Source organism: Homo sapiens, chromosome 1, assembly GCF_000001405.40.
Source record: "Homo sapiens chromosome 1, GRCh38.p14 Primary Assembly".
NCBI lineage: Eukaryota > Metazoa > Chordata > Mammalia > Primates > Hominidae > Homo > Homo sapiens.
In genome coordinates this window covers 222,500,944-222,512,793 of record NC_000001.11, presented here as the reverse complement: position 1 = coordinate 222,512,793, position 11,850 = coordinate 222,500,944, and the positions used below count along the sequence as shown (strand labels likewise).

Sequence of the window (11,850 nt, the reverse complement as noted above, 5' to 3'; positions counted from 1 at the left end):
GTGGAAAACACATGATGTTTTTATTTGGGTGACTATTTACTTGTAACCTACTAGCAAACTATAAAATTGTATGATATGCAGAATTTTAACTGAATTGCTTTAAGTGAACATTTAAACATGATAAACAATATTGATGGTATTTATGTTAATATACTTAAAATGAACATTTTTCTTCATCATGAGTAATATAACCTACTCCTCAATGAAAATCTAGCATTAAATTTGCTAATGAATTCAATAACATTTCCATAATATTTTTAGTTACATGCTTAAGGTTCTCTTAGTGTTTCTCCCACTTTTTAATAGCTTATGCCTTTTTCGCCTTTGGTTTTTTTTGGTTCATTTTAAAGCAAAAATCTCACAACATGTGATATCTGGAAACACTGTAACCTAGTGGTAAGACCATAGGCCCTGGGGACACAGGCTGGCCACATCTCTTCTCCTGTCTGAGCTTTAGTATCCTCTTTTGTGGTCATGAGAACTGAAGATCTGTCCTGAAGATTTGATAAGATAGTAAAGTGCTTCACATAATACCAGACATATAAATACACAGTAAATGCTTCCTCCTTATATTTTTATTGATTGATTGATTGAGACAGAATCTTGCTCTCTTGCCCAGGCTGGAATGCAGTGGCGTGATCATGGTTTCTGCAACCTCCACCTCCTGGGTTCAGGCGATTCTCCTGCCTCAGCCTCCCGAGTAGCTGGGATTACAGGTGCCTGCCACCATGCCCAGCTAATTATTGTACTTTTAGTACAGACGGGGTTTTACCATGTTGGCCAGGCTGGTCTCGAACTCCTGACCTCATGATCTGCCTGCCTCGGCCTCCCAAACTGCTGGGATTACAGGTGTGAGCCACTGTGCCCAGCCTGTCTTTTCTCTTCACACTCGCAGTTCATGATGAAATATTAAATATGTACTAGTGGATATTACTTTGCTGAATATTGCCTAGTGAATATTAAGTATTTATTCTCACCTTTCAGACATGAACTTATGAATTCAACAGGTGAAGATTTACAACTTGATAAATCAGCTTTGTGAGGTACGTCTTCAGTCTTAAGTCAGATTAGAAGATTATGTGAGGTAATTAACACTTAACATTGATTTAACGGTAGCTTCCACATGAAATAGTATGCCTCTAAGTATTAATTATGTCCTAGGACAGGAGAATTCATGTTGTCAAAATTCTCATACTCTCTAGAACAATAAACTCATTTTCTTTTTATTAGTAAATATTGCATTTATGGGTAGACAAAACTGAAAGAACAATATTTGTTCCACTTTTGAGATGCAAGATTCATCTGGCATAATGCATTGAACAGGTTATTATTGAAGTCTACACCAGTCAACTGAATAAGCATTCATCAAATGTCCATGATATGCAGGACATAAGTTTTCTTTTAGAGTATGGAACCATGCATATTATCTTTTAATTAGATGATTTAGTTAGATATGTTTTTAAAGAACTAGAAATATAATTGATTTTCTTGTTTTGGCTCTGGAGTGGAGTGGGGATGAAACAGAATGGATTCACACTGTTTAGATTTACTAAAATGGAAGGATTGCAGCAAGATCATATCCCTAGTCTCCCCATAGCAAATGTCACCTGCTAGCTGTTTTTTTTTTTTTTTTTTTTTGGAGGTTGAAGTTTTGTTCTGTCGCCCACGCTGGAATGCAGTGGTATGATCTCAGCTCATGGCAAGCTCACCTCCTGGGTTCAAGCAATTCTCCCTGCCTCAGCCTCCTAAGTAGCTGGGATTACAGGCCTCTGCCACCACGCCTGCCTAATTTTTGTATTTGTAGTAGAGTTGGGGTTTCACCATGTTGGCCAGGCTGGCCTTGAACTCCTGACTTCAGGAGATTCACCCGCCTCAGCCTCCCAAAGTGCTGGGATTATGGGTGTGTAGCACTGCACTTGGATTTAATGGGATATTTCACTACAGACTTTGGTAAACAGAATATTAGCATTTTTGGTGTTCTTTTTATTTTACTCATACTATTTTTCTTTGGACTCAATCACAATAACAGAATTAAAGATCAAAGTGTAAAAGTTAAAGACCAGTACAGATTCAATAATTATTCTTTTCTACATACTGTGTTTAAATGATATCCCTTTTTCTTTTTGTTCTTATAGCTCGAGCTGTAAAAGCCGAAGGTCTGGTGATGATCCCATACCCTTTTTTCCAGTCTCATGTTGAAGATTTTTATGTAGAAGGCCTTCCCAAAGGAATTTTTTTTTTTTTTGAGATAGAGTTTTCACTCTTATTGCCCAGGCTGGGGTGCAATGGCGCAACCTTGCTGGTCACTGCAACCTCTGCCTCCTGGGTTCAAGAAATTCTCCTGCCTTAGCCTCCCAAGTCGCTGGGATTACAGGTGCCCACCACCACACCAGGCTAATTTTTGTATTTTTAGTGGAGATGGGGTTTCACCATGTTGGCCGGGCCAGTCTCGAACTCCTGACGTCAAGTGATCTTCTCGCCTCGGCCTCCCAAAGTGCTGAGATTACAGACGTGAACCCATGCCTGGCCAGGAATTTTGTTTTTTAGGAAGGCTTTCTACTAATGGAATTCCTGGCCTTGAGAGGATGTTACTTTCGAAGGAAAGGATTTTTTTGCTATTAAAAGGTAAGATTCCTGGATTCTTATTGGACTGTTATCTCTGTTATGAGTAATCCATCTTTAGTCATTCACCACTAGGGTTGTATTTAATTAAGTCTGAGTTATTTTATGGTGGTTTTGTTTTGTTTTTACCGAATTTTGTTCTCATTGCCGTGGCTTGAGGGCAATGGCGTGATCTCGGGTCACCACATTCTCTGCCTTCCAGGTTCAAGCAATTCTCCTGTCTCAGCCTCCTGAGTAGCTGGATTTACAGGCATGCGCCACCATGCCTGGCTAATTTTTTGTATTTTTAGTAGAGATGGTGTTTCACCATGTTGACCAGGCTGGTCTAGAACTCCTGACCTTGGGTGATCCACCCGCCTCGGCCTCCCAAAGTGCTGGGATTACAGGCATGAGCCACTGCGCCCAGCCTGGGCCTGCTTCTTTCTCTTTTTCTTTTTTTTTCATTAGCAGCTTAAAATTGGTGCCTTATTCAGACACAAGCAAAAGGACATTAGCCCAGCTTTGGAAATAGGTGAGAGCCCATATATGATTTTCCTAGTTTCTCCTCCCCCTTTGCTTTTTGCTCTCTTGTTAGTATATTAATTGTTTTCACTCTCTGAATCTTTTTTCCCCATTTCTTTGGCAGACATTTTTACTTGTCTTGGAAGAGTAGGTGAAGAGCTGTTTTTAGGACTCTTTGAAAGGGTACAGTATGGGTGACAGTCTTGGCTAATGGTAACATCCAGGGAGCTGGGGTCAGCGTGAGCTGGAATCAGTTCAAATTAGCAAAGCACTGGCACTCAGTGGCAGGAATACAAGTGACTGCAAAGTGTTGAACACATCTGGAAAGGGATACTGACATCATCCTCAGAATCTGTGGGGAGTTCACATAGCCAGTTAAGACCCATTCCTCTTTGACCCTATAAAGATTCTTTAAAGAATAATACCCTTAGTGGTTTTCTAGCCAGCTTGCCTGCTCATTTATCTTTGAGGATGACATGCCTTGTGGAGCTCCACAGGCCCCAGAGGGGTACGGATTCTGCATTTGAAAGTGCTGAAGCTGAGAGACTGGGTCTTGGTGGACCCCAAGAGGTCTGTTTCTCCTCTACTTATTGTTTCTTTTTTTCCCAGCAGCTGGCATTGCTGTTTAAATGGGTTGTTCTTTGCTGTTTTAAGTTGTTTCATAGTGGTGTGTCAGGATTTGGGTTTTCTTAATACTTTCCAAGCTGGTGACTTGAGTGGTGGTTAGGGAGGAACTGTTTTAGGGCTGTTCTGGAGCTATTGAGGTCAGGTGTCTAGATACTCCCAGCTTGTCTGTTGAGGAGAATGCTGTTCTCATTGTGCTGCCTTTGGTGGTGCTGTGTGTGGCTCTTTAGATGTGAGTGGAGGTGAGCTGGGGGAGTTAATGAGATCTTTTTAAGGTGCTTTTGATAAAGTAGCCTGCACTACAGGATTCACTGTGACTTTTTTCCTTAACCTATGCATTTCTCTCTGCTAGCTTTTGCTGTCTTTCTCATGCCTTTGATTTTCCCAGCTCCTCTTAGTTGAATTAACCTAAGTGCTCTGCTATGGTTTAAATGTGTCCCCCAAAGTTTATGTGCTGGAAACTCAATCCTCAATGCAACAGTTGGGATGTGGGGCCTAATAAAATAGCCTTCATGAATGAGTTAATGTTGTTATTGTGGTAATAGATTAGTAATCACAGAGTGGGCTTATTATAAAACAGAGTTCAGCCCTTTTGCCCTCTTGCCTTCTTGCACTCTCTTTTCCTTCTGCCTTCTGTAGTGGGATGATGCGGCAAGAAGACCCTTACCAGATGCAGGCCCCTCAACCTTGGACTTCCTAACATCCAGAACTGTTAAGAAATAAAATTTATTCCTTTCCTTTCCTTTTCTTCCTCCTTTCCCTTCTCCTCCCTTTTCTTCCCTTCCCCTCCCTCCCTCTCTCTCTCCCTCCCTCCCTCCCTCCTTCCCTCCCTTCCTCCTTCCCTCTTTCTCTTTCCCTTCCTTCCTTTCCTTCTTTTCCTTCCTTCCTTTCCTTCCCTCCTTCCCTCCTTCCTTCCTTTTTTCTTTCCTTCCTTTTTTCCTTTTTATAAATTATGCAGTCTGTGGTATTCTTGTATAGAAGCATGAAATGGACAAAGACTCCATTTTCAAGAGCAAGCACTTTTGTAGTTTCTGAGCGAATTATGACTGCAAAGGAAGTTCTATAGGTAGCCTCAGATCCACTACCTAGGAAGCATGCTACCAAGCAGACCTAGGATCTAGGATTTGATCAAGTGCTGGGCAACATGATACCTCTGCAATTTAGCACCTCCCTATATACCTCCAGTTGGCTCAGCCCATCAGGGCTAAAACTACCCCTCATATCCTGGTGTCTCTTGTAGGCAGAAGCCTTGCCTAAACCCTAAGCTGCTTGGCTCACATTCTGTCTTGTGCTTTTTTTGTAGGGGGTTCAAATATACACAAAAGAAATATGTTGAACCTCCATGCACCCAACCCGCAGATTAAGCAGTTACCTCCATTTTTCCAGATTTGTTTCGTCTGCTTCAATCTCCCTAAAAATTTATGTTTGTACAGGAAAGACTGAATAAATAGCTAATTCTCCACCCTACCTCTCATCTTAAGTCACTTTTCAGAGTAGTAAGTTAGTGACCTAGTAACCTTCCCTCTAATGACCAGTAGTTTTTTTTCTGAATACCATTATGAACTCATAGATTATTGTTTGCATTTGATGTATTTCAGGCCATTGCAGTCTTTATTGTTTTGGATGCTTACATTGTCTCATCTAGGTTAATAATTATCTCTTCAAGTTGACTTTCATGTCTTTTTGACGTGATCCTGTTGGACTTTGATGGCTTCCTTGCTTTCTGGCAAAAAAGATGTTCCAGGATCAATATACTGCACCATACATGGAGTCAGCCATTTCTCTAGGGAACCTTGATTCCTTTTAGTAGAGAACACAGTTTGAGGTCTTGGACTGAATGACTTTTGTGAACCTCCTCTCCTGAGACTACAGCCTGCATCCCTGCATATAGCCCATTTGGAGCTCTTGCTGGGCACCAACAGATCTCCTAAAACTGCTATATAGTTCTGCCTCACTCTTACAAAGATTCATCTCTTGAGAGTTTTGTGCTCTACCCCCAGATGTGGTCTTTCTGGTTCTGAAGCTTTTGCTCCAGTCACCCTGAATTTTGCCAGCCCTATGCATGCTATACCTTGGATTGCCAACTTGCCCTCACTGAAGCCAGTTTCTCTGGTTAGAATAGTTGCCCAAACCCATGCCTAATACTCTAGTAAACAAGGTTCTACCTGGGCTTAGGTTAACTTTTGCTCCTTTGGGCCCTGTGTTCTACCAGCATTCCATTTATCTGAAACTCTCCCTCACCTTAAGAACTTATCTGTTCTTTAATGATTTACTGCTGCTTCCTGGGTTTGAAAGAACCCAGTTCAGGAGTTTCTGTTTTAGTTTGAGATCTTATAGGCCTGTCTCATCAGGTTGGTGTCAGCCCAGCTAGGATTAGGCAGAATTGGGTGGGGGCTGTAGTGCATTTTTGGCACAGCATGTACCTGTCTGACTAATTCCCTGTCTTTTCTTTCCTGTTGCAATTCATGGGTCTTAGCATCTTCTGAATGGTGTTTAGTGGGTCATCCTGTTGATTTCCTGCTAGGGATTAGCATACTCTGGCTCTGTATAATTGGCCAAGGGACTTAAGGATAGATGAAGGGCTGCAGTTTTGTTAAATGGAACAATATGAAGAGATGGCATTGTAAAAAAAAAAAAAGCTTGGCAGCAGGGCCCATTTGAATGGTTGGTCCTTGGCTCCTTTGTTGATATAGGCAGATCCTTGATGGGAATTTGGAATGATCCCAAATATTGTAGATCACTGGTACATCAAGTCATCCTCAAGGTTGTCTGTGTAACAGTCTTGAATGATATTTTGTCAGTCTTTGGAGATTCTCTGTATAGGGTTTAATCATTTAGTTATTTCAGTTGAGCCTGTTTAGTTTCTTTGCAAGGAGATAAGAAATGTGAAAGAGATGCAGACATTAGGGAAAAAAAGTCAGGAGCCTTGTTTCCCCACCCTCTACTTGGGTTCTGGAACTAGACTCATAGGTGAGTAGTGAGGAGCTGGGCCCAAGCACATTAATCCTAGATCTAGCTCTGCTTTGTGCTCGCTCCAGTTCTTGTATCAAATTCACTTCAAGCCACCCAGAGTAGTATGTAGAGGAGTCATTCAGGACCATGCATATACTTCATTGTATCAAATGGGAAATCCAGTAATTTATAGCCTATTGTTTCTGGAGCCTGGAGATGGCTCTGCATAAGATTTGCTGAAGCAAATTTTATTACATTAGAAGAGAACCTAGCTGGCTGCATCCTACACTGGAAGCTTTTAGATGCTAATAAGGAGGTCATGTAAAGGTCACAGAATGACTCTGGAATCCATTCCCCACCAAGAAAGAATAATGACATTCTATGTTGGCCTCTTTTCATTTCCCTTTGATTTTGAGTAATAAATTCTCTCCTCACTTCCCAGCTGAACTGTTTGGGAGTCTCTATTCCCTAGAAAGACTCTGGTCACATACCCATCAGATTAAATTAGGTGAAAACTCTTTGGCCTTCATGAATGTTGAAGGATTTCAAAGGGCTAATGGAAATTCCCTCTAGAAGTAACTGCAACCTCCGCCTTCCGGGTTCAAGCGATTTTCCTGCCTCAGCCTCCCGAGTAGCTGGGATTACAGTTGTCCACCACCATGCCCAACTAATTTTTGTATTTTTAGTAGAGACGGGGTTTCACCATGTTGGCCAGGCTGATCTAGAACTTTTGACCTCAGGTGATCCGCCCGCCTCAGCCTCCCAAAGTGCTGGGATTACAGGCGTGATCCACCGCGCCCAGTTAAACTTCAGTTTTTCATGTTCCATGCATAGGTCAGGGTCTTAGGGAGTGATTCATTCTAGCAGAACTCCCTGGATTTTAAGGCAGATGTTCCATTTATTAATTGACAAAGGAGGCATATTTCTCCCCTGGTAACCCAAAGATTTAGGTCATTTTCCCAGAGACTCCATTTCCACTGTGAGGGTTCTTGGAAAACTAAGCAGAGGATGAGGAAAAGTCTGTGAACAAGCTTGCTGGTCTCTCCCTGTCCTACAAAAGAGCATACCTCTTCTGTAACCAGAAGGCCCTTTTGATTAGTCAAGGCTGGACAGACTGAGATTGTGTGTGTGTGTGTGTGTGTGTGTGTGTGTGTGTGTGTGTGTGTGTGTCTTGAGACAGGGTCTCACTCTGTCACCCAGGCTGGAGTGCAGTGGTGAGATCAGAGCTCACTGCAGCTTCCACTTCCTGGGCTCAAGCGATCCTCCTATTTCAGCCTCCAGAGTAGCTGGGACTATACGAATGTTTTACCGCACCCAGTTCATTTTCTAATTTTTTGTAGAGATGAGGTTTCACTGTGTTGCTCAGGCTGGTCTTGAACTCCTGGCCTCACGGAATCCTCCTGCCTTAGTCTCCCAGTGGGCTGGGATTATAGGTATGAGCCACCTCACCTGACCTGCGACAATTTTTCAACAATGTAACTTCTCTTTTACAGAGCCACCTAAGCTGAAGATTCCCTTGAGAACAAGTACTGTCCTGCGGTTTCATGGCCTTTCTTCCATTTGTGGTTCTTGCGAAGTGGAATTTAAATGACATCTTATCAAGATGGATAAACCCTAGTTTCCCAGTGCTGGAATATAGAAAATGGATGGACAAGTAAATCCCACTCAGCACCCATAGTCCAGGCATGGGGACCTCAACACACCTGAGCCCCAGACATCACCTTTCATTGTGAGTAGCTCTGAGATGACACTTCTGCTGTTCCCAATTCCAGCATTAATTGGATTAGATAGTTATTTTATGAAGAATTTTCATATGCCACAATCCTGACCATATCTTCAAGTGAACAGAAAAATTCTATTAAAAAGTCAACCTTCTGTCTCACTCTGTTGCCCAGACTGGAGTGCAGTGGTGCAATTATGGCTCACAGCAGCCTCAACCTCCTGGGCTCAAGCAATCCTCCTGCCTCAGCCTCACAAGTAGCTGGGACTACAGGTGCTTGTCACCACACCTCACTAATTTTCCCATTTGTGTTATATGTGGATTCCACAGGACTGACTTCGAAAACTTGAGTATGCGTGGATTTTGGTATACACAGAAATGGGAGAGCTGGAACTAATCCCCCCATATACCAAGGGACAAATTGTATCTGTTTTTACAATTATACAGTAGGAGACATTATGTTCCATGACAATGGTAATTTTTAATGACAGTTTTTAATTGAGTGAAATTACCATAAAAATAATAATAGTAGCAGCTAATATTTACTGAGCTGTTACTAGGTGCATATAAATAGCATAGATTTTTAAATTCTCCATAATTCTTCATTATTTCACTTAACCACTCTATCTTACATTACTCATGCTTGCCTCAGTAGCACACATACTTAAGTTGGAACAATAGAGAGATTGGCACGGCCTCTGTGAAAGAATGACATGCAAATTTGTGAAGCATTCCATATTTTTTTTAAAAAAGAGAAAAAAATTACTCCCAGATTTTCACTGTGTTTGTGCATATGACCTTTTGTTTAGGTTGAATTATATCCAAAGATGAAATTTCCAGAAGTGAGATTACTGTGAGTCACAGGGCATGAGCATTCTTATTACCCTTGATGTGAATTGCAAAGCTTTCAGGCATGGTGGCTGTCAGCCTGTAATTCCAGCACTTTGGGAGGCTGAGGTGGGAGGATTGCTTGAGGCCAGGAGTTGGAGGAGGCAGTATAATGAGGCACTGTCTGTATGATTTAAAAAAAATTTCCAAGCTTTATGCTGGAAGGCTTATATACATTTTAAACACCACTAATACTACAAGAAAATGGCCATTTCACTGCACCTTCGCCCACACAGGTATTATAATTTAACAAGTTATTTTCTGTGTGATAAATGAAAGACCTGATATTATTACTTTGTCACCCATTCTTTTTTCTTTTTTTGTGATGCAGTCTCGCTCTGTCGACCAGGCTGGAGTGCAGTGGTGTGATCTCGGCTCACTGCAACCTGTGCCTCCCAGGTTCAAGTGATTCTCCTGCCTCAGCCTTCTGAGTAGCTGGGATTACAGGCACATGCCACCATGCCCCGCTAATTTTTGTATTTTTAGTAGAAACGTGGTTTCACCATGTTGATCAGGCTGGTCTCGAACTCCTGACCTCGTGATCTACCCGCCTCGGCCTCCCAAAGTGCTTGATTACAGCTGTGAGCCATGCGCCCAGCCTATTTGTCACATATTTTATCTTTCCTTATGTTAGCTTATTAGCTTTATTTCTTTATTGTCCTTTTTTTTTTTTTTTTGAGATGAAGTCTCGCTCTGTCTCCTAGGCTTCAGTGTAGTGGCACAGTCTCAACTCACTGCAGCCTTGACCTCCTAGGCTCAGGTGATCCTTCCGCCTCAGTAGTTGGGACTATAGGCACATGCCACTATGCCTGGCCAATTATTTTTATTTTTTTATTTTTACTAGAGACGAGGTCTTGCTTTGTTTCTTAGGCTGGTCTGGAACTCCTGGCCTCAAGCAATCCCCCCACCACCCCCTCCCAAAATACTGGTATTATAAGCATGAGCCACCATGCCTGGGGTATCTGTGTCTTTTCCATTTATTTATAGAGTTACTTTGTCTTTTACTAATTCAATGATCTGTTTAATCTTTTATTAAATTATAAAAATAATAAATACTTTTAAATAAGTGAAAAATGTCCTTCACTCTTTAGACCCATAATCTTATCTCAGGAAATAATTGCAATTGAGAAAATGGGCCATATCCTTCAAGATACATACATGGTGATTGAACATCACTTCATATTTTCATATTTCATGGACATTTGTGCCAATACCTATTGATCTATCTTAATCCTTTTCATGGTTGCATAATATTTTATTATATGGATGTATCACAATTTACCAGTACCAGTCAACTGCTGGAGGCATTTAGGCTCCTTCTAATATTTGCTTTGAGCTCTTTATATAATTAAAAATTAACCCCCTCAGCCAGGTGTGGCAGCTCACACCTGTAATCCCAGCATTTTGGAAGGCTGAGGTGAGAGAACTGCCTGAGTGTAGGAGATCACCACCAACCTGGTCAACATAGTGACACTTTGTCTCTACTAAAAATTAAAAAAAAAAAATGAGCTACATGTTGCAGTGCACACCTGTAGTCCCAGCTACTGGGGAGGCTAAGACTGGAGGATCACTTGAGTCTAGAAGGTTGAGGCTGCAGTAAGCTATGATCACACCATTGCACTTTAGCTTTGCTAAGAGCAAGACTGCATTTCTTAAACAAAATAAAAATTAGATGGGAATATTGCTCAAGCCCTGGAGGTTGAGGCTGCAGTTAACTGTGATTGCACCACTGCAGTCCAGCCTAGGCGATAGAGCAAGACCCTTTCTCTAAAAATAAAATAAAATAAAAATTAACCTTCTATCATATTTCCCAGTAGCACCTTCCCTCCTACATTTCTCCTAGAAGCCCTTAAATTTTGTTTTTCACATATCGTTTAAAACTTTTAAGTGCTGATGTCTGTCTGTGTCATCCCTCTTTTTTTTTTTTTTAAAATGTCTTTTTGTCACTTCTAGCTGGACCTACCATGAAAGACTTCTGAATCCAGGAAGAGAAACTGGCTGGGCAACATGTTATTCAGGTACAAAAAGACTTGGACTGTAACTCAAAAATGATCAAATAATAGTGCATGCATCAAGTGCAATGGGAAGCTCTTCTGGAGAGGGAGAGAAGCTTCCAGTTAAGGTGACATTGAAGCCAAGTCCTGTAAGATAAGGAAGAGTTGTATGAGAGTGGGGAGGGAAGGGGGAGGTGGAGGGATGGGGATTGGGCTGGGATGGGATGGAGTGAGCTGCCCAGGCAGGGAAACCAGCACTATACAGACCTGAACAATGAAGATGGCACATTTTGTTCAGGGAATGGTGAATTAAGTGTGGCAGAAATGCTTTGTAGAGACAATAATTTGCTTGTATGGAATTTTGCCCAAGAGACCTCATTACAGTTTCTAATTTTTTGATGTTATCATGCATCACTGCCCTTGTCAGATAGTATCATGATCACAATAACATCAAGCATAATATTTCATTGATTCTCACAAAAACAGTTGGGTGCCACAGTTATCCCCATTATATGCACAAAATGATGAAGACTTGGGGTTAATGAGTGA

The 11,850-nt window shown here is 41.6% G+C and overlaps 1 long non-coding RNA gene and 1 pseudogene across 1 annotated transcript; one reads left to right on the top strand and one right to left on the bottom strand.

Annotated features, from left to right (window-relative positions):
* Window positions 1-8,185: 8,185 nt before the first annotated feature.
* LOC124904519 (uncharacterized) lies at window positions 8,186-8,428 on the bottom strand. Its single transcript, XR_007066889.1, has 2 exons — window positions 8,313-8,428; window positions 8,186-8,233 (listed from the first exon to the last, which is right to left on the bottom strand). It is a non-coding gene; the product is annotated as an uncharacterized LOC124904519 (long non-coding RNA).
* On the top strand, window positions 9,059-9,162 carry RNU6-791P (RNA, U6 small nuclear 791, pseudogene; annotated as a pseudogene).